At 38.8% G+C, this 24,264-nt stretch overlaps 1 protein-coding gene across 5 annotated transcripts in view; it reads left to right on the forward strand.

Annotated features, from left to right (window-relative positions):
• Window positions 1-24,264, forward strand: part of POU6F2 (POU class 6 homeobox 2) — a 490,693-nt gene that overhangs the window by 88,161 nt on the left and 378,268 nt on the right. For 4 of the 5 annotated variants that reach the window (NM_007252.4, NM_001166018.2, NM_001370959.1 and 1 more), the window contains one exon: window positions 19,791-19,962. In NM_007252.4, coding sequence (NP_009183.3) covers window positions 19,791-19,962 — 172 coding nt within the window. Of the gene's footprint in view, window positions 1-19,482; window positions 19,963-24,264 lie in introns of those variants that run through there. The other variant, XM_047419845.1, reaches the window with a different exon arrangement.

The following is a 24,264-nucleotide window of genomic DNA, read 5'->3' on the forward strand; positions in this document are numbered from 1 at the left end:
CAGTTAACTCAGAATATTCCTGGATCCGAAGATGCTTTACTATTAGGAAACTTATCTGCACGATACTTTAGGTTAACTCGAAAGAAAAAAAGAAAACAACTGATAAAATACAACAGCCATTTCTGGTTTAATTTTTTTGGATGAATTGGAAGTTTCTTACCTGACAAAGCTAATCTCTCTTAAACCAACACCAAATATGCTTCAAATATCTTACTTCAGTGAAATGCAAGAAGCATTCCAATTAAAATCAAGGCTAAGACAAGAATGCCTTATATCACTATTGTTAAGTATTATTTTGCTTAGTGTTATGAGATATGAAATAGCCATAAATAGTGAAAAGGGGACATCTATTTTAATTTGATAAAAATAGGAATATATATGTGTACAGTCCTAAGAGAATCAACCGAAAACTCAATAGCTTTTCTATATAAGAGCAATGACCACATATAACTTGATTATAGAAAAAGAAATTGATTTCATTCACAATATAAACAACACATAAAATATTTGGAAATTTTAAAACAAAAATGTCTGTAGCAGGTATGGAGGAAATGACAACATCTTCCTGATAATAATAAAATAAAATTTAAATAAATAGAAGAAGCAAGTGTTGATGGTAACACTGAATATTATAAAGATGACATTTATTCCCCCCCTTTTTATTTTAGAATTTGACAAAATGATTCTAAAGTTCATCTGGGAAATAAAGAGCTGAGAATATCTAAGACGTTTTTGACAAAGAAGAATAGCATATAGATGATTTTTGCCCTATTATATAGGTTATATAATATATGTAGCATATTATGCATTATATATAGTGTATTATATAATATATAATATCATATTATTATAACATATTAATATAACAGAAATATACCATTAAAATATATGCATTATACATCATCATATATATGCATTGTATATAATTCATATATTAATATACTTATTTATAAATCATATTTAGAAATATAAAATGTATATATTATGTATATGGCATATATATACACTTAACGTATACACACATATATATGGCATTATATATCATCACACTATATATGGTTCAAAAATAGACCTGGAATTTCATTAGAACTTACTTTGACTAAAAAAAAAAAAAAGCAAGCATAATATGCCAATGGATTATTCAACTAATTATGCTCTAAAATTTGATTATTTGGGAAGACGTGAGATTTGCATTTAATGCCATATACCCATTCAAATTCCAGAGACTATAGAATTATTTTTAAACTAAAATAATAGGAAATTTAAAAATGGGTGTATATGCATGTCTTTTTGTGGACAGGGAAGTGATTTCTTTTCATAAAAGTAATAAAATAAAACATAAAGGTTAAATATGACTGGATAAAAATTTTAAAATCTTTTTTAAAAACTAACATTAATAAAAATCAAACGGAAATAACAAATTCTAGAAAAAATATTTGGGATGCATACAATTTGGAATCAGAATTACAGCTAAATTACATTTTAATTTTCACTAATCTCAATGTCATCATCAATAAAATGGGGAAAATAACAATACCAGTCTTTGTTGTTGCAAGGTGTCAAAATCAAGTATGTATTTATAGCCCAGGCAGTGTGCAACACAATAAATGTCAGTTATTACATTTTTATAATTATTGCTTTTATAAATCTATATAAAGTTCAATGAGAAAAATACTTAGACCCCCAGTGGAAAGACAGGTAAAGGATGTGAGTAATTTATAAAAGAAGAAACTTAATTAGCTAATAAACTTGAAAAATTTAACCTTGGTAATGAGATGCAAATTAAAACATTAATAAAATGCCACTTTCCATCTAATAGGTTAGAAAAAAATTTTAAGGATAATACAAAAGAGAGGCTTTCTCATACACTGAGAACATAAATTTTCCACCACCTGATCTTGAAGGCAATTTGGCAATGGTCCACGTTCTTTTAACCCGTAATTTCACTCCTGAGAATGTATTTAAAACTGTCAAAATTTTATTTTTTGTGTGACTAATTGGACACATCTTAAATCAAGAGATTGCCTGGTTTTTTGATAGCCCAGCCTTATCAATGAAAATAATTTTTACCATGCACTCTTAATATATTGATATTTATCTATGTAGTTCTTTTTATAGCATACATTTTTGCCACTAAAAAACACACACAAAATAAAATTACAAGAAGTGAAATAAGAGGAGAAATTCTAATACTTTCTCACTGTACATCAGTGCCCTGTCTCGCAACATCCCCTAACGTGCACAGGCCTCATTTTAAAGACCACTGTCCAAGACCTAGTTGGAAGCACATATTAGGCCCTTAATAAATATTTATTGAATGAAAAAGTGAATTATAAAAGCAGGATGCTAACTTGTACATGCAGTCTGATTCTAAAAACACCAAGAAAGATAACAGAGATTATATATACACCTAGTACATGCATATATATATATATATAATTTTCATAAATGTCTACAGTAAGTTCCATAATCCTAAACTAAAACTCAGGGAAAATATGGCTTTAAAAAATAAATGTAGACTGTCAAGTTGAAGAGCAATTTTGAAAGGTTAAATGATAGAGTCTGAAATATAAAGAATATGAAATAAATAGCTCAAGACTCCAAATTTTATAGCCCAGAGGACAGAATAACAGGAACTCATGAAAAGTTTTCTTCTATTTAGAAGTTACTACAAAGCTGTGTATTGCTGTGGCCTGCTTTCTTTGGAAATGCTGGGAAACTTGATAACTCTTCTTTTCTGATTCCTCAGAATATATCTTTAGGATAGGGGTTCCCACTGTTTAGCATTCATAAAAATTTTCCAAGGAACGTATTAAAAGCATAGATTGCTGAGCCCTGCCCTGTGAGATTCTTATTTAGCAGTTTGAGGAAGGATCCGGAAATCTATATTTAACCCCCTGACTCCCCTGGGGTTCTGATCCACAGGACCTGCGGATCACACATAAAAATTGTGGAGAGTGGACCAAGCATCTGCCTTCTGTACAGAATATAGAACCTCTGCGACATTGCCCACTGTGGGTTTGAGTGGCTTAGAATAGTTGACAATGGGTGGGGAGGATTGAAGTTGAGACTTAAAAAGCACAAGCTCCTTGCCAGTGTCACCACAGAGCTAAAAGCTGCATTGAGACAAGGGCTCTTAGAAGCAGCGGTCCCTAAACTGAGGTCAGTACAAACCATTAGCAGCTGAAAAGGGGCTTTTTATCATGTGAGACTAGGTCAAAAAGCCCAGAATGCCAGGGACTGAGTGTTAGAGAAGAGACTTGCTTGGGAAGGTGGAGCAGAGGGCTTTTCCGGGCTGATGCCCAGGCTGTGAGGAAGGGCTTTCATGCCCGGAGAGTCCCGCAGGTGATATTCATTTTCTGACGAGCTCAAGACCGTGCATGGTTTTTAAGTCCCACTGGGAAGTGACAGATTTTATTTTAGCTGAAGGAAATAAAATTGACCCTTGAGCAGCACAGGGGTTGGGGCATCAATCTCCTTGCAGTGCAAAATCCACATGCAACTTTTGACTCCCCAAAAACGTAACTGCCAATAGCCTACTGTTGACCAAAAGCCTTACCAATAACATAAACATTCGATTAACACTTATTTAGTATGTTATATGTATTATATACTGGATTATTACAATAAAGTAAGCTAGAAAAGAAAAGGTTATTAAGAAAATCTTAAGGAAAAGAAAATATATTTGCTATTTATTAAGTACAGGTGGATTATCATAAACGTATTCATCTTTGTCCTCTTCACTTTGAGTAGGTTGAGGAGGAGGAGGAAGGGTAGAAGCCAGTTTTGCTGTTTCAGGGGTGGCAGATGCAGGAGAAAATTCACGTATCAGTGGACCCTTGTGGTGCAGACCTGTGTAATTCAAGGGTCAGCTGTATTCAGATAAGTTAAAGTGGCTTTTTTAAGACTGCGCTGGGAGCTAGTCCAGAGTCAGGAAGAACAGACTTCAGTGATGTTAGGGACTCACTCCCTTCCTCACTGGCCACACGTGCCCAGGGAGCTTTGGTAATAATCCAATTAAGCCTGACAGGCAAGAAGGAAGCAGCCAGTACTGGTTCTGCAAAGGCAGCTAAAGCTGAGAGATGATTTATTTGATTCTCAAAAGGAATTTGGTTGATATAAAGACCGTTGTGGTAAGATAGTAAGAAAAAAATGACTTAAATTTGAATTTTCGTAAGATATGGGTTATTGAATTTTTTCCCTAGTTCTATGAGAATAACAGCTTTTTTATGGCCCAGTAAACCTTTTAAAATCTTTTATTTCTAATTCAAAATGTGTCTAGTGCTTAAACTACCAGGCATCTCCCTCCACACTTCTGCTTTTGCCTCCACACTTCTGCTTTTGCCTCCCCACAAAGCAGCCTTTTGGAAGGCACATCAGACCTTGTCATGCCTTGCCCAAAACCCTCAAGTGGTTTTCTCTCATGATTGGAATTAAATTCCACGTCCTTGCAATGGCCAAAAAATGGCCTACTAGATCTGGCCATGGGCCACTTCTCTAGCACCCATGCCCACCCACTTCTCAGCCCCACCAGCCTCCTCTCCCCAAGAGGGCACTAAACAGGCCTCCAGCGCAGGGCCTTTCCCTCCACATGGCCTTGTGATGCTCACATGCCCTTCCCCTCAGGCACTGTGGCTGTGCCCACGGGTCCCTTCACTGTGAGACCTCTCTGATCGCCTTATGTAAGTTACATACCCACACCCCTCCAGGTCACCCTATGCCCTGCTTTGTTTTTGTTCATAATACTCGTTACTACTCAACATCGTATTTACTTATTTCGCTTTTGCCTGTCTCTCCCACTGTAATTTTAGCTGCAAGAGGGCCCTGGACTTGATCTGTCTTGTTCAATGAGGTGTTCCCATCACTTAGAGGAGTGGATGGTATATAGCAGTGGTCCCCGTTTTTGGCACGAGGGACTGGTTTCATGGAAGACAATTTTTCCATAGACTGAGGACAGTTTCAGGATGATTCAAGCACATTACATATATTGTGCATTTTATTTCTTGTATTATTATTACATTGTAATATATAATGAAATAATTATATAACTCACCATAATATAGAATCAGTGGGAGCCCTGAGCTTGTTTTCCTGCAACTAGAAGGTCCCATCTTGGGGTGATGGAAGACAGTGACAGATCATCAGGCATTAGATTCTCACAAGGAATGGGCTACCGAGATCCCTCACACATGCAGTTCAAATAGGGTTTGTGCTCCTACGAGAATCTAATGCCACCAGTGATCCGACAGGAGGCAGAGCTCAGGTGGTAATGCGAGCTATGGGGAGTGGCTATAAATACAGATGAAGTTTCACTTGCTTGCCCACCGCTCTCCTCCTGCTGTGTGGCCCAGTTCCTAACAGGCCACAGACTGGTCTGTGGCCCAAGGGTTGGGGACCCTTGGCATATAGTACTCACTCAATAAGCATGTTGGATAAATAAATAACATTAAAAACACTACCAAAGCCAGGTATGGTGACTGACACCTGTAATCCCAGCACTTTGGGAAGCTGAGGTGGGAGGATCACTTGAACCCAGGAGTTCAAGACCAGCCCAGGCAACATGGTGAAACCCCATCTCTAAAGAAACACACACACACACACACACACACACACACACACACACACACACAATATCAAAGTTAAATGAGAAAAAATTTCTAACAGTCTTTGTGCAACAACAAATCAAACTGTTTTCCACTGGATTTTAAAAATGTATTCAGGGTTTAAAAGTCTATTGAGGTTGACTATTTTTATATCAAAATTTGGGCATTTATTTCCTCGTTTATCTTAACACTAATTCGGATTTTTCTGCTTATTTTAATTCAAAAGATGATTTCTTGCTGATTTACTTTAACGAAGTATTCAGCAGGCTTGATTAGAGTTTTGCTTGGCATACTAAGGAAATAAGTACTCACAAGATTGGAACACCAAGGGCAAGACTTGCAGACAGAGCTCAAATCTCACAGGGCATCAGGACAGGAACCAGCTGCATGGAGAAAGGTAGATACATGGGCCCTTGTAGTTGAGGTATGAGAGAAAGTAGGAGAACCCAGCAATATTTCATCTCTCATTTGTGTTGTGGGGAAACAGAAAACTTTTCAGGCAAAGTGCATGCCCCTGTGGAGTTATAGTGCAGAAGCTCAGTGGAGTAGCATGAAAGAGGATTGATTGTGTAATGAGGCTAAATTCCAGCCGTGGAGGATCAAGCTTTCTTGGGGCACAGGTACATCAGTTCATAGGAACAGACCTCGCTTACATATTAAAATTTGGGTAATTCAGTCAGCATTGAGTTGTTGTCTTTCTTCAATCTATGATGCATTTTTCCCTTAAACAATTTGTCTAAGCAAATTAATGTTAGCAAGTGGATATGGGATAAGCCCCTAAACCCACTTAACAGAGCCAATTGTTTATGAAGACTTCGGCTCACCTGTTTTTACATGCTTTTATGAAGGTGTCTTACTGACTTGTTAAAATGGGTCTGATTTTCCCCTTGACAACACGTTAGCCATTCTAGGTGCTTGAGGATATTAAGTCAGCAATTCTTTACAAATACGCAGGGAGAAACAGCAACTCAGATGCTTCATCTGTTCCATCCAGCAGTGCCAATCTTGAATGGCTGTGTGGAAACCTCGTTTCACTGTGTGAGCTTCAGAGTGTGAGATGGTGGGTTGTCAGTTGCCGATTATCTCCCTAAAATGAGAAACAAAGCCTAGAAAACCAGTCAAAACTCCCTGCGTGGAGCGACATGTTTATTTATTAGCAACCATGATGAGGTCAAGACAGTGCTTCCAAGAGAGGGCATTGTGTTTGTGTGTGCACATGCCTAATCTACATACATAGAACACATTGCGTAAACATGATCAGGGTGCTAAGAAAATGTTATTACTGTGAAAGTAGACAGGCACAAAGAAGATGCCGAATACAATTACTCTCTTCCCTTTGCTGATGTCTACTAGATGGTGACTTTTTTTATGGTAGCTAATGTTTCTAGATCTTTACATTTCTCATTGTCCCTAGCACAACACCTGGTACTGATGAACTGTCAATAAATATTTGTTGAATTGCATCAGTTTTGTCTTAAGTAGGCTCTGATTCAGAGCCATCCCCAATCCATGCAAACTAAAGAGGATGTAAGTAAATATTAATAAAGGCTGGCCTGGTTTTTTAATTGCCCTCAATTTCAAAGGCTAGAGATTTAAAGAAATATTTACTTAAGCCTCTGTTTATAGTTTGAATTGGAAACAAATCTGCAAAATATTTTTAATAGGAGCTAATACAGATAGCTGACGGAATGGGGAGAACCTATTAAAAAAAAAAAAAAAAAAACCTTCTAGTTCATGTTTTCCTGAGCAGCCAAATCCCCAGGAATGAGAAGATTTAGCTAATCTTTCCAATCACATTCTTCCTTCCTCCCCACCCCCATCTCCTTGGAATTATGTTATCTCTGCTCGTCTTAAAAGCTCAGAAGCCTTTTGAATTGGAGTGGCATTCAAAGGACAGTCAAGGGTCACCCTTGGAATATTAAAGGAGAGTGGATTACAAGAGAGGGAGGGACGGAGCAGCTGGCGCTGGGCGCAGCCGTGTACAGACCCAAGGCAGAGAACGAGAGGAAAACTCCATAGTATCTGGTGCTGGCCAAGAGAAAGCTGCCCAGACTGCTGGGAAGCACAGGAAGCAACGCTGGAGCAACCAAGCCACATTAGCAGTTCCCAGCGTGTGCTATTGCAGCTTGGGAACAGAGGGAAGGAAAACACTTATTGGTGAAATCAATTAGGCAGTGGCCTTTTGAACAGAAGTGGACTGGCTTATTTAGAGAATGTGGAGTTGTGAACCTTGTAGAATTAAAAGCCAGATACTGTTTTAATTCAGAGAGAAAATTCTACAGAATTTACAGCCTCCTGATAGTTACTTATTTCTTAAAATCATAAGATGTTAGGATTTATAGAGTTTCCTTCTCAAAAGACTTCTGAGTAATTTTATTTTTAAAAATCTAAATTGGCCGGGCATGGTGGCTTACGCCTGTAATCCTAGAACTTTAAGAGCCCATGACTGGCAGATTGCCTGAGCTCCAGAGTTCGAGACCAGCCAGGGCAACACAGTGAAGCCCCATCTCTACTAAAATACAAAAAATTAGCTGGGCGTAATGGCTCACACCTGTAATCCCAGCACTTTGCGAGGCTGAGGCGGGTGGATCACCTGAGGTCAGGAGTTCGAGACCTGTCTGGCCAACATAGTGACATCCCATCTCTACTAAAATACAAAAAATTAGCTGGGTGTGGTGGCAGGCGTAGTCCCAGCTACTTGGGAGGCTGAGGCAGGAGAATTGCTTGAACACGGAAGGCAGAGGTTGCAGTGAGCCGAGATCACGCCACTGCACTCCAGCCTGGACGACAGAGTGAGACTTGTCCCCCCCTCAAAAAAAAAAATCTAAATTTAAAAAATGTCTTTCTTCTTTTATCTTTTATAGATATCAATTCTTATTTTTGTTTTTCAAATGAAAGCAATAGATATTTAGTGAGAGTTTATTATGTGCCCAGCACTGTCCTAATATTTGAAGTGTGTGGATATAAAGATAGTGTATCCTTTTTAGCAGTGGTTTCTTGTTGAATTTTTTTGGTGGGATGTGGGGTGGGGAGCAGATCAGGCAGCAGATCATGAATCCCTTTAAAATCTGATGAAGGCTAAGGAGCTTCTCCACAATAAACTACACAAACAGTCACACTTTGTCGGAAGGGTCGCGGACAGCAGGGAGCAAGCAATATCAAAATTTCTTATTATTACTAAGCAGTCGGCCTGCTATGAGCACTGTTTGTGAATTATTTATTTAATCTGCTAACCCATCCATCCCATGAGGCATATACTGTTATTACCCCATTTTCCTCTCGGGAAAATGAAGGCTCAGAGAACTGTGCCCTTCAGTGAGTAGAAGGTGAACCCAACTACAGGCTCTTGGGCTCCAGTTCCCAAGCACCCACTCTGGCACCGTGGGACTGGGGTGTGGGGCTGTTCGAGGTCGCAGGTGAGGCTGGCCACAGACTGTCTGTTATAGGTCAAAAGGCATCTCTTTGGAGCTAGACCAGGAAGCACCTGGACACTTAATTGCCACATGACAGAAAATTGTCTTAGCAATTTTACCATCATTATAATGTGAACAACACATTCCCTGGTGTTGAAGTGCCCGGTCCAATGTCACAGCCCAAGAAAGCTAGACCAGGCTCCAAATGGGGAGGGCCTGGCATGGTGGGTTGGAGTTCTGGCCCAACTCAGAAACTACTCTGGAAACAGTCAAGTTTTGAGCTGGATTTTTAGGAATATTAGTCTGTCAGCAGGGGGCAGGATGGATTTTTGTATTTATTTATGGAAATCTGAAACCATAAAGAGCTGGATGGTTTTTGAAGAAAAAGTTTTTCTTCTCAACTTTGTCATCAGAACAGAAGGACAGGATTAGATGTATACACATATTTCATGTAATATTCATTTAAATAAATCTCTTCTTCTTCTAAGAAAAATCCTACCAAGAGAACACTTGTAGTAAAATCACGCTTCTAATACGCTGTGTGTTTGATGATACTGCTCCTGAAGGCCACAGGGAGGCTGGGACCACAGTTAGTGCTGTAGTAGTGCTGGCAGTGGCCAGCTTCCCTCAGTGACATGAAGATGCTTCCAGCTGAACAAGGAGACAGAGCCCAAAGGCTGAGCCCTTGGGGCGTGGTCTCTGTGCACACCTGGGTTCCCCTGGGGCTCTACTGCCTTTGCTTTGTTGGACTAATCCCCGGACTAGCTTGGTAGTAGCTCTTCTCCCATTCAACTTCAGTCCTGGGGGAAAATGAGACTTTCCTTTTCCTTTCCAGTGTAGCTATGACATTCTTCCATCTTGTCCTGTGTTACAAGTAATGCAGTCACACAAGCTGAACTCACTTCTGTTTCTGGAAGCAGCATATGGGTCAGTATGTATGTGTGTGCAGAGTCAGAGAGGTAAGATAGCTGGGTGAGGCCTCGGCTTCATATTATGTAGTTTCAGACACAGCTGAATGTATGCTGAAAATATCAACCAAAGCTAACCTTTGCTCTGAACTTCCCTTTTTCCTTTCCTTTCTCCCTTTTCTCCCTTCCCTTCCCTTCTCTTCCTTTCCTTTCCTCTCTCCTTCCTTCCATTCCTTCCTTTTCCTCCCTTCCATTCCCTCCCTTCCTTCCTTCCTTCCTATCAATCAACCAGTCAAACACACTTACTGAGAGCCTATTTTGTATCAGACATAGTGCCCAGTACTGGGAATTTCAACACATGTCTGCCTGCCAGGGACTCAAACATCTCAGCTGTAGGGTCTAACACCTAAGTGTTTTGGAAAAGTAAATCATTGATAGGTGCAGCAAACCCTCGTGGCACGCATTTACCTATGTAACAAACCTGCACGTCCTGCACATGTATCCTGGAACTTAAACTAAAAATAAATTATATTTTTAAAAAGAAAAAGAAAAAGAAAATGGTTAGCTAACAGACAAAGTATCATGATTGTTATCGCATCTGTGATGCATTGCCAATATGCAATATGGGCAGATCTGTGGAACGCTTTCCTCAAGTACACTAAAGACTCCATGTAAAATAGATGGGAGGAGCCAATATGGTCTCAAAAACTGGGAGTGGGCACTTAGGTCTTCCCCTATCTCCCTTTGAGGTCCTGGAGGCACCTCTCTAAAACCCTCAGGGCTTCTCAGAGCAGTTTTAAAATGCTGGGACTAGAGAACAGGTCTTTCCATTCTGGAAACTATCTCACTTTTGCAAAAGGTTGCAAATGTTGAGATACACACACACACACACACACACACACATTAATTAACAGTCTCTGCTAGAGTTTTTAAGATGCTAGAAAGTAAGCTCTTTTTAGGACAGAGATCAGATGTTCTCTCTTTGTAACTCCCAAGCAACTCTACATTCAAATTGCTAAATGTAAATTCACTTTAATCTGTGTTGTATTCTGATTAAATCCTGATAGCTATTTGAAGCCATCAGATTATGAAGAGTGTATGAATATAGGGTATGCGTATGCAATGTCAATACTGCTGTATAACCCCATTACCAAAAGACCAGATCTAGATGAGCCTGGATTGAACTCATATTGATGCTTTTTCATAAAGGCAGCAGAAATTGAATTGATGGTGCTATTAGGTTGTCAATACCAGTGTCTCCCTTTCTTCCCAGATAAGTATACATGAAGCATGGTTCATACAGTCATTTTAACCTCCTAGGGCCAAAGAAGCTTGTAGAGGTTCAAGGTGAGGATTCCGAGGAGGTGTGTCCAACTGTGTGCTAGATACTTTGTAGAAGTCCAGAACTGGCAAACTCCTGTCTGATTGATTGTTATGTTGTTATTTCAGTCTACAGGTTTGCATTGATGAGCGGTTTGGCTTAATTGCTTGTCTGTGTTTAAATACAGCTGCATCTGTTTTCATTATCAATTGGAGTAGGCTCTAGAGTATAAGCATAGTTAAGAGGACGTGGCATTCATGGTGGGACTTGGAGAGGGATAGAGACCCTGTGTGGATACTGACAGGAGAGGAGGACACTTATCTGAGGTTCAACAAAAAGACAAGAGACCCTTAAACTGCCCATATGTGCACACTCATTGTTAGTAATGAAATAGCATCCTGTTACACCGAAGGAAATCCTATATTTGCTGTATTATTTTTTTTCTTTCAAGATGATTCTGGACATTCACCTTAACCAAATATTCCCTAGATAAAGTATTGGGGATTAGTGGGAATAGCAAATAGTATAATTTGCCTAGGACATCCTTTTAACAGAAGCTCTAGACCTTATTTTACCGTGTAACTAGCTTGCTTGCCTCTAATACAGTGTTCATCTGACTAGGGGTCATCACCCGGTGCAGTGGGTTGTGTTGCAGATGGCCTGGGGCAACACTTGTATGCACAACTATTAGGTTATTTTTGGTAGATAATGGTAGGCCACCAAAACTACCATATGGTTAGAGATGAGTGAGGGTTTGCTACATCGTCCTCAAAGCCTTGCATTCTGGTTATGATGAAAACAAGCTCTCAGACCAAGAGCTGCCACACATTCAGATATTTATTAAACACGCTTTTATTGCCAATTATTTCCAAATAGTTTACTTGACTTGTCTGAAAGCTTAATGAAGTCATAGTTCTCTGTCATTTTAGATGAATCTAGCATACCTTGCATGAAGGTTCATTAAGGTAGATATGGCAAAGTTCTAGGAGCAAGATCTATAAGCACAGGCAAAAACACTTGCTAGACCATTAATATTCTCTGCTTGCATACAAAGGTGGGGAAGGTCTCCAAAATATTTTAGCCAATACACATATTTTGAATATGACTAATTTAACCAAATGAGAACCCATTTCTAACCTCCATTAATGCTGGTCAATAAGGTACTAATTCTACCCAAATTAATATAAATGATACTAAGCAGCAAAATGCAGGGTGAAGGAGTGGTGGTCAGTGAACTGTGTTTGTAGTGGCCACGCCTGGAATGTGGCTTTTGTGATTGAACGCTAGTATTGGAGCATGAATATCAATTAAGGCAACTGATCAAACCTGGGGCGGAGCTCACGGGTCAGCAAACTTTTTCTGTAAAGAGGTAAATGGTAAATATTTCAGGCTTTGCAGGCCATAAAGCAAAATCCAGGCTGCCCCAGAGGAACAGATATGACCTTGAGAGAGGCAGCTACTTTCAGGCAGGAGCAATTCCTGAGAAAGGACTCCTCTGCTGTGAGCCATTGAGGGGCAACATGCCTGGCTACTGGGAAATGAGTGCCTTGGTTCTAAAGGCGCCATTGCACTCCAGCCTGGCGACAGAGCAAGACTCCTTCTCAAAAAATAAAAAATAAAGGGAGGATCTGGGCAGTACCCCACAGCATCCCCTACAGCATCTATTTGAGTCTTCAACTTCAATGATTTGGTGACTCGTGCTCCAAACTGAGAGTGTGGAGAGAAAAGTAACTCCCAGTCAGTTAGATACCTTAATGTGGGAAGCGGTATTGTAGAAAATAGTCTATTTGTGTAATACTTTTATATCTTTCAAAACATATTCATACACATTATCTGTACATTATCTCACTTGAGTCTCACAATATCTTTTTTTTTTTTTTTTTTTTTTTTCCGAGACGGAGTCTCACCCTGTCACCCAGGCTGGAGTGCAGTGGTGCGATCTCAGCTCACTGCAACCTCCGCCTCCCAAGTTCAAGCGATTCTCCTGCCTTAGCCTCCCGAGTAGCTGGGATTACAGGCGCCCGCAACCACGCCCCACTAATTTTTTGTATTTTTAGTTCCACCGTGTTGGCCAGACTGGTCTCGCAGTCCTGACCTTCTGATCCGCCCGCCTAGGCCTCCCAAAGTGCTGGGATTACAGGCTTAAGCCACCGTGCCCGGCCAAGTCTCACAATATCCTTCACGGGATATAGAAAGCCACATTGGTATGGGAACCAAGATGGAAGAGAGAGCAATTCATGGTCCTGCCAGTAATTAGCGCTAAAACAAGCAATATCCATGGGGTCCCCTCTTTAGTATGCCACTGTTAAACGCAGCATTTATTTTTAATTTTGAATGTCCTGCTTGATTTTCACAGAAATCTTATATATTTTGGGATAGGATTAAAGAAAATTTCAGCCACACTAACTGCAAAATGGAGAGACACAGAGAAAGAGATAGCAGTTGGGAATGTTGAGTTGAGGAAGGAAGTGCATGCTGGGATCAATATTTGGCTGTGAAAATCTACTGTGGAGCAATCAAAGGTGTGCATGTATACGCTTTATAGTGAAGTGCATTATAATGGAAATTTTTGTCTGTTGAATATTTGCCAGAAATGTGGGATTTTCCACTTTTTTTCCAAAATAATTTTTGTTTGCAGCCCAAAAAGTGAAATTTAAAATAAAATAATCCGTTGTGGGTGAATTTATAATACTTTTAGCATCCTTCTTTGATCTTCCCAAATTTTCAAAATGTTCTACAATAAATACGTATACTTACGTCAATAAAAAACACATAAAAATAAAATATGGTCTTATTTCAGAAAGTCAAATAGAAGTTCTTATTTTAAAAAAGTCCTGAAAAGGTAAGGAAATATTGAATGATGAAAAATTAGAAATGTTTTATAACTTTTGGGAGAAATACTCATATTAAATATCATATCAAGAGCTAAACTAATTAATAATATTTGGTAATTAATAAAAGAAAGTTTGTTTTTCTTCATGACTAAGGTAATGATATTCATACTTGAAGTTACCCTTTCCCCAAACCTACCAACGCCTTGTTTCTTCCTCTTAATTCTTTTTGATTTCAATTTTTACCTCTTCTCCGTGGGAAAAACTAAACACAAAATATGACGGTGTGTTTGCATCTTAAATTGGATGTAGGTAATTTGTTTCTATCCTTTCTCCCAAGTTGAAATGTAGCATTTTGAGAGGAGGGAAAATCCAATACATTTTTTTTCTTTATAATGAATGCAATTTTTCTATTGAATTCTAGGAATAAATCTGTTGTGTATTGTATAACTTTACCATACTTGAGTGCTTCACAACCAAATGAATTGTTTCCCTGGATTTTTGAAGCCTGCCTGTGTTATTTGCATTTTCCTCAAAGCTGTTCTGATGGACTGTTTCATCATTAGTTTGCACGTACATAAAAATATGCTGGACCTCTTTCAAGCTCAGTGTAGAGAGATGTGGGTATTTCCATCATGTGGCTGCCACTGGACACGGATGCTTTGCTGAGTTAATTATCTCGCTATCTTTAGTTTCTCCGACTATAAAATGAGAATGAATATGCTTATCAAAACTCTGTTGGTTAAATTATTGAAGGTCTTTAGCCAAATTACATATTTGTTTATGTGGTATTATTTTTAGCAGCGTGGTTAAAAAAACACAAAGCCCAAGATGAATTCTCCTTCTTAATACAGTACCCCATATCTACTCTTTAAAGGCTTTATGATAGAAGTACACTGGGACATCTCTATTTAAAAATTATATGAAAGTACATCAGAAGTTAGCATATAATGACAGTATATATGGTTAGTATATAGTAAATCATATATCATATATGCTAACTACACATAAATAAACTAAGAAACATTAATTAGGTAAAAGTTGTTAGAATGTGAGAAGCACTACACAAATATGTACTTGTAGAAGTGTTTGAGTTTAGTATTATAGAATCATTAAAAATTAGTGCAGTAATTTACAGATAATCGAACCTTGCCCATTCCAGATCTATTAGATAATATAAGAGTTATAAGGCAAAGACCTCCCATGGTCAGATAATCTTGGGAAAGTGCTAGAATAAGAAAGTTAGATCGACTTCTTTCCTGGTAGACTTCCCTGCTGAGTTTTCCACATGGGTATGACTGCAGAACTCTTTCATTGTAGAGTATCTTTTGGGGCAAGTGTTTTGTGGAATGTACTTTGGGAAATATTGTTTTATTATAGCCTTTTCATTTTCTAGACAAGAAAACCAAGGCCAAAGGTGGTTAAGTGGCTTGCCATGTTTATCTAGAGGGTGAAGCTGAATGCAAGCCTGGGTATTGAACACTATCTGATGTCCTGTCTACTATACCATATTGCCCCATAGACTTCATTCAAGCAATGTCAGCCAGAGAGCTGTTTTGTTCCTACATTCTGTAGGGAAGATAATACTACACACAGTATGTCTGGGACTAGGTTATCCAGGCTTTAACACCCTTCACAGCCACTGGCTCTGGCTCATCATCCAAAATCTGGGATACCCCATGAATTACTAAGTCCATAAGCCTTGAATTTTTCACTCAACGCCTACTGGGTAAAAAAGGTGCTGACTTTTGGAGATGAATTGGCCAGGTTTGAAAATGCAGCTTTACCACTTAGCTGCGTGCCTTTGGGGCAAGAAATTTAGCCCACTGAGCCTCCGTCTCTTACCCATACAATGGGGCTAATACCTTGCATAGCTGGGGTAACATTAGATCCATCTGAGGAGACTGTCTGGTAAAGGCATTCAATAAGTGGGACCTATATTTATTCCTTCATAATGCTTGAAGGAGACAGATAATCACTGTGTAGTTTCTGATGGAGATTGCAATCCTCTCTTTGTAGGACACGGTGAAAATTTTTGTTGTGATTTTGCTAATAGAAACTACTTCTGCTTCTCCTTTTTCCACCGTCTGGTTCTTGGGTCTCTGATGGCCCCGTGAGTGTCCTGTATTGGCACATGCCACATCCTATTGCACACATGCAATACTGTTCCATGGTGGACTAGTCACTTTCTTCTGTCGGGATTGATAAATGAATTGCAAAGAAGTCTCAACATCTTCTATTGTGATAGTAACAATTTCAGAGTTTCAAGTAAGAAACTTCATCAGCTCTATTTTACTTCTCACCTGCACTAGCTACTTCTGTTCCTGTTTACCGCTGCAGAGATCCTTGTACAGGTTGAAGTTGCAGGTCTCTTACATTTCTACAAGCACCTACGTAGATGCATGTTGGAAAATCCTCTCTTCACTACGACAGAAAGGATTTCACAGACTGCTATGGCTCTTGGCAGAGAGAGAATGACTTCCAAGCCGAGTGCTACTTGAAAGAGGCACTCCCCCATCACTTATAAGTCTGTACTCACTGGTTACTGCTTGTGACACATTTTCAAATGGACCCCCCAGTGGCTGCAGCTGTGATTAAAAGCTGTCTGCTCTCTGCCTCACTAGGGGTTTGCTGTTTAACCATGTCATGCACACACACACACACACACACACACACACACACACACACACAAATATATATATGGGCTAGAGCTGCATTATGGAAAACGTAAAGTGTTTTGTAAGACAAAAAAAATTAAATGAGTACTTGAATGACAAACTCTTGGATTTTCAAAGCTCAAGTTGGTGAGAGGCACTAGTTGGGAACCTAGCCATGTATGAGGTACATAAAAGTAATTTAAGGAAGAAGAGCTAATGGTCAGTGAACATATACCATCTGCCAGTGCATGTTTTGCACACATCAGCCAGACAGAACATCTTAAAGATTTAAGTACACTTGAACTCAGCAGCTGCATTTCAGCTCGTCAGTGTGATTCGGGATTCAGTTTGACCCTTCACAAATAAGGCAAGAGTAGAATATTCTTTCTTAAGTTTACCCAGATATTCACTGGCACATTAATAATCATGTCTGTTTTATCATAAGACTGCTATTCTCAACATAAGTTTATCATTAACATTATCTTAAAAAATGCTCAGATGAGCAGTACAGTGACAGAGACTGGGTGTCTTAAAGGTATAGGTCACACCCCTTCCTCTAGATTAGAGAGACTGAGGATTCAACCTTTTAAAAAGTAAAAAGAGTGGACTAGAATGTAAGCCTGGGATCTTGACATCACATGACGAGTATACTTAGGAATGCCACGAGGTCAACCAATGAGCGTTGTTCCCTTCCCTACCCACCCACCCACCAACTGAATCAGAACTCGAACATGCATGCTTTCTTAGATATTTAGGAAAGAGATCCAGAGAAATCTTGAGAATTGTGTGTCTCTTTTCCCTTCTGCCTGCCTCCCCCATCTACCCCAAGTTTCAAGCGCTCCAAATCCCAGCAACAAGACCCAGTAAACAAAATGCAAATCTATCACTAGCAAATTCAAGCTGACAATACTGTGAATCGACCGCATTGATTACATTGATTATATTTCAAATATTTACAATATGGTGAGACAAGTCTAATTTCTTTTCTAAAGAGTTCAAGGTAGGTATCACCATTTCTGAGGGGGGAAAACAATGGAGAAATGTTTGTGGTTGCTATCTGCAATAATCTGGTGCTGACAGAGAGTAGTATTTTATTTAGTAATTAACAGTGTAAAGGGGAAAGGAGCTGTCATGTTGGTTCTTAAGCTGGGGAATGTGATGAAAGATGATATCTGCGATCTCATCCTTTCCACTTGTTTAGGATTGTCAGGATGAGAAATGTCAGCATTATGAAAGCTCGGCTCTGCTCTTGATATGATAAAACCCTTCAAAAGCCAGTCTTTCTCTCTCCCTCATCCCCCTCCTTTCTCGCTGTCTCTCTCTGCACTTGCTTTTTTATTTATCCTGTTTTGTTAGATGGCAGAAATATAATTCTTTTCTTTCTTCCTATTATAAGCCACCATTTTTGTTTTATTATATGTTTCACAACCCCTAATGCCCCACTGAAAATTACCTTGTTAAATGACAGTGTTTCAAAGCCATGAATCCTTTCCACCATTCCCTCAGAGGTTTGAAACAGTCAACAGACTGTAAAGAATAAATAATAAAAAAGTATTGATTATTTTGATGACTGTGAGATTCAATTAAGTATTAATTTTGCCCTCCAGTGGACCTATCAAGGTATTCAAAAGGGAGGATTCGGCTCAGCTAAATGCGTGCTGAGTGCTTCAGCCTTAAATAGGGAGAAAATGTGTTTACCTACAGTATTTGAAGAAGAAGTGCATTGATGCACAGAGTCCAATATTTAAGTGCTGTGTAAATTAAGCCCTGGTGACAGTGACATTGTTTTCAATGGTATGAGTATTGACTAAAGAAGTGCATTTGATGACAGCTTAAACTATTTGTATTGATTAACATTTTCATAGATTATCATGTGTCATATCAAATTCACTTTTCAAGCATGAATACATTAAAAAAAAATAAAACACAGGCATACCGCAACCAATGCAATGGTGGGACCCGGGAGCATGCCGCCCCACCTGCTTCTGTGCTGGTCACCTGTTTCCTGCTCAGGAACCATTTAGGCATGAACTTGGCAATAAATAGCTCCCAGATCTCGCAAAAAGGGCACTTCTTGCTCTCCTTTCCTTCTGCATCCGATATTGTGCCAAAACAATATTATGCATCTCAGTTTGCAAATGGAATAAAAGACTACACTTGGAAAATATTTCTGATCCTAAAATGCCCTCCTTAATGAGCTGAAGATAAAGCAGATCTAAATAATTAGGGGGGAAAGTTTGTCTTTTCTGAAGGCGATTTTTGTTTTCTTTTTCTTTAATGCTCTGGGTGTACGATGCTCTAGGTATCCGAATTATTGAACACAGTTTGTAAGTATTTTCCCAATTCCTTAAAAAAAATTTAAATCAATTTTCGTGTATTGTGTTGTGTATTATTTGCTTTAAAATGTTCATTTGATTTGGGGTCAGCTCCGGTTCCCAATCTGGGACCAGTGAAGCCAACTTCTAAGGGTGCTTATAGAATTTACATAAGAAATATCTTTTATTCCATTGAAAGCCTTTCGAGGTCTCTTTTCTCCCTATCTTTTTTCTCTGCTCTTGGGATAGGGTTTAATTGCTTCTCCCCCGGGGAGAAGGCTTCTTAAAATAGCCCGTGGTTCCTCCATAGGGTGCTCTTCCTTTTTAGTATGTTGCTGAAGTACAAACCCAGCACTTTCTTTTTTCTTACTGCATTAAAGACAGAACAAGGTGTAAAAACATTCGCACAAAAGCATATCCCACAATTAAAGCTGTGTTGGTTAGGTTGCTTTCAAAGAAGTTTTTTTTTTTTTTTTCCTCCGAAGCCTCCTGAATCTCTCACATGCTAGTTGAGCTTTAATAGGGTGGGGAGTAATGGAGAACTCATCGGATCTGTAATAGCTCTTCACTTGACTGCAGCCAGCAATAACAGCGGGAGCAGCCAGAGATAAGAGAGAGAGGAGAGAGGGAGAGTGTGTGTGGAAGAGAGAGAGAGAAGAGAGAGGGAGAGGGAGAGAGAGGACACGCACTCTAAATCTGCCACTTTTTTTTTCCTCCCCTTCACTCTTTTCGCCCATCCTAGGATCCAATGATAGCTGGACAAGTCAGTAAGCCCTTGCTGTCAGTGCGGAGTGAAATGAATGCGGAGTTGAGAGGTGAGGACAAGGCTGCTACTTCAGACAGCGAGCTGAATGAGCCCCTGCTTGCGCCTGTGGAATCAAATGACAGCGAGGACACTCCCAGCAAGCTCTTCGGTAAGTCTGTCTAGGTATTTCATTTCAGTACTACCATGTTGTCCGGAAGAGCAATCCAACCCCCCCAACCCCCCCTTTTTTTCTGTTGTTCATTCAGTTTTCCCGTAAGTACTAAAAAGGAGCATCTTGGAGGTGCTAAGCCACTGAAGCTGATTCCAGCCGGCTAGGAGGATGTCCTCCAAACTTTTACCAACAAGGAACTTATTCGCTGCCCATTTTGACTTGTCAAATATTGCTAGAGTCCCCAGGCTGGAAATTGTTTGGAAAAAAATAGAAAGTGGTAATAATAATCAGGAAATCGGTTCCATTGTGAGAATTGGTTAACATTTATTGAGTAAATATCGACTCGGTTTCAGGTTGCTTCGCAGCCTTTTGTTAAGGGGAAGGTGAGTAAAGACATTATCTATCGTCTAAAGATGGGAGAGGAGAACTGAAAAATATCAATACAAGTCGTGCTATGCCAGGTAAACAAAGGTGGACACAGGAATTGCTCTGAGAAATAACATTGTGTCATCACAATCAGAATGAATATTTCTTCTTTTTTTAAAAAGGTGATGAGGAAAGAAAACAGGTTCTCTGATTCCCTCCTCTACCCCTCTCCTTTTCCACATTGTGTTTATAGCATCATAACTAAAAGTAGAGGCAGCCCAAGACCTTTTAGGAATCTTTGTTTCATAAACAAAACAAGAACAAGCAGAGTGCCACTCCAGCAAAGACATCTGTCATTCAAACAGATGACACTCTGTAAGCCAACTCATGCAACTGTGATCTCTAATCAGAAAGGGGAGCGGGTTGTTGAGGCGCGTGCCTGAGTGATAGATGTTAATGGATGTCTCTGCTGGAGAAGCACTTTAGGGTACAGAGTGACGTTAGGTTTTCAGAACAATTGCTCCTGAAACGTTTGCTTTTAATTATTTTCAAGTGCGTGTGTGTGCACACACACATAGACATATATATACATACTAACCTGACATATATATATCAGGCAGAGTACTGCTTGGTCTCAGGTAAGAAACAGTCAAGCACCTGAACTTCAAAAAAAAAAAAAAAATCATTACATAGACTACTACTTTGTTAAGAAAGTCAGCAATTCGGCTTGAAACACAGGCTTTATTAATTAATTAATTAATTTATTTATTTATTTATTTATTTATTTATTTATTTATTTTAACCGACAGAAAGCAAGCTGCCCTGAGAGTTTGGCAACTCTAGGCTAGCGTGCTTCAACCGACAATCTTTTCCCTAATTTTAAATGCTTACTCAATCAAACATTAGAGAGATGTCACAGAGAAACTCTGCTTTTCAGATCTTCTCTGGGTACAATACTGTTTTATGCTTAACAATATACTAGATTCCAATTTCAAGAAATTTTGGTAGCATCCCTTCTTTGAAAAGCAGCAATGCCACCTCTGACATGAATTTCCAAACCTGCACATTAGAGTTTTAGCATTTTCACCCTAAAGAAATATTTTTTATAGTGTAAGTTTTTATCCATATAGGAAGAATTATGTACTAAAACCTTTACTTCAATTTTAGGAGGGTAGTGAGAAAAGTCAGATAAAATGATAAATTACAGAAAGGTAAAAGCCATGCCCATGCCCCTCTAATGTTGAGTATGCTAAGTAAGCACTTTGACTTTTAAAAAGTAATCAATTTTGAGTTCAACAAGCTACAGATAATACATTTTTGTTCCTAAACTTTGCATGCATTTAAAATAAAAGCAAATGGATTTTGTAGACTTGAGCTTGGACCTCTAACTTGTTTTCTTTCAAGTAATCCAAAAGAGGGGTGATTGATTTTTTTCATTTGTTTAGGGTTCCCAGTGTTGAACACTGTTATAGATTTGTTATGCTACGTCTTACTGATTTGCATGTGTAGAGAAAAAAGCTTCAAAATTCCAAGAGGGTCAAAGAGATTTGAATTAAAAGTTTAATGGCATTTACTAAGGATTTGTAGTTTAATGTTAAAATCATAATGGATTTTAGAAGGAATCCACTTTTCATTTTGAAATTCTCAACTTCTGAGTTTGTGTGAGAGAACACAGCAAAACCTACATCTTACATTCCTTTTGAATTCACTTAATTGTCTTTGGTCTCTAGACTGTTTTTCAAACACAATGTGAGAATTTCCCAGTTTCCAATTAGATCAAGAAGAAAGCAGTAGATTAACAGTTTTGAGAACTTGAGAAAAAATTAGAGACAATATGAGAAAGAAAGAATAGAAAGGATCAGGAGGAAGACACTCTAATATTCTCATAAGGTTTCCTTTGCAGGGGCCTGTTTTGCTCTTACTTTTTAATATTACTGGGACTTGGCCTTAGCAATTCTAGTTTACGTAACTGACTAAAACTTTCCAGAATAATTCTGTCCCAGAATTTTTAGCAACTTTGGTGACACAATTTAAGGAACTATGATTTTCTTTGATATGCATATGTTCAAGTCTGTTTTTTGTTTTTAGATGTAGTCCTGATTGTACCCTTTACTTGATAATGAAGAATTGCATTCTTCCTGAGTAGTTGACAGCATCTATGTTTTTATCTAAACAATAATTTTCTAACATACTTTCTTTCTCAAACTGTCATTCTTCTATATATACACCGTATTATTGAAAATTGGGCTTCTCTAATGAGATGGCCAGATTATGACAAATCATGTGCATCTTGATATGTTTAGTTTCATGGAGAGACATTAACCAACAACAGGAGACAAGCAGAGCTCAGGGTTTTTTTATTGTACCTGAAATTTCAGTATAAATGGATTTCTTTGAAGCCTCTTCTCCCATCTGTGTACTGTTCAAATTAGCAGTCCAGAGGACAAGTCTGTTTCCCTCACAGTATGGTACCTTCAGCCCAAAACTGCAGGAGAAGGGCTAATACTGATGCCCTCTATGGATAAACAAAGGAAATTCCAGGAACCACTGGGCCTTTTATGCCTCTCCTTAAATTGCACCTCTGCACTTAACAGCATCCAAAGGGAAACATACTGTGCAGAATGTTTCAGTGCTCTGAGCAGCTCAGAATACCAGAAGGAGAAAGGAGAAGCCATATGCCAGCCTAAGTAGAAAGTTCAGAAAAGGGCCCTTGTGTTTTATAAAGTAATTACATCAGTGGTAACGTTTTGCTTAACTTGAACAGCCATGGAAACTAAAGTACACTTAGGAGAGATGAATCCACATTTCACTGAGAAACATGTGGTTAGGTAGTTCTCTGTGATATCATTAAGTGATGCATTATTTATTCTTCTAAAGCCTGTAGGATAACTATCTCCTTTTTCAGTTCATGACTGTATTATGCTAAGCTCTGAGCTGTAAGAAACAGTATAGAGGAGAACAGGCTTGCATGTGGTTGGGGGTGGGGGATTATCAGAGAATCTGGCGCTGTGTCTCACAGGGCTTTAGCTGTGTGATCAGATGAGTGATGCTACATAGAGCCAGTCATTTAATATGTGACTAGTGATGTACATATTGGAAACCATTCTCAAAACTGGCCTTTGGCAAACAATCTTAAAGGGAAGAGGTTGCTGTGTTTCTCTAGTGACATTTATAGTACTCGTGTCAGTGTGGTGCTTCACTTTTAGTTATGCCCATCAAGAATTCAGTGTTCCACATTCAGTCAAGTTGGATGCTAAAATTCAAATGGTAGCATCAACAACTTGGTCGGGAAAATGATCACAGAAAGGATAAAAGTAATATATATCCTTGGAAAAAATATGTGTGCTAAAGTTTTCCCATGCACTCTCAGCCGAAGAAGTGAGATCTCATAAAACATGCCCTAAATATTTTCTCCCATATATATTTGAGATTTGAAAGATGATTTATTAACAGTGTTTCTCCTGGGAAAATGTTTATTGTTTGAAGTTAAACCTCATGATTTCCTTCCTTTAAGTCCCAGCTATCTTGGGTGGCTGTGTTAGTCTCGGTGGCCGGCTTCTCAGTTGTACTACATTGTGCATGAATTGGGCACACAGCTAAGAGCCTTGAGCTGAGATGGAACTGCAAAACCACGTATAAGCATTGCATCCAAAGTAAAAAATTTGTGGTTGATTTTCTCTTCTGATATTGTGCTTTCCTAGGATAAAAGAAATTGCATGCAATGATACTTGTAAGAGTGGGTATTTTCAATGCCATTTATCTGTGAGCTGTTGAAAAAGGCCTTAAAGTTGGCTCAGGGATTCCTCCATGCTATAGAATGTACTATATTGTGTATTTCTTTTCCTTTCTGTGATCTTTCTCACAGAAACATGCATTATAAGATTTTTTTCTTTCAAATTGCCATCCAGTTTGACTTGATTAGAATTTATGGCA

Source organism: Homo sapiens, chromosome 7 (assembly GCF_000001405.40).
Source record: "Homo sapiens chromosome 7, GRCh38.p14 Primary Assembly".
In the NCBI taxonomy this organism is placed as follows: domain Eukaryota; kingdom Metazoa; phylum Chordata; class Mammalia; order Primates; family Hominidae; genus Homo; species Homo sapiens.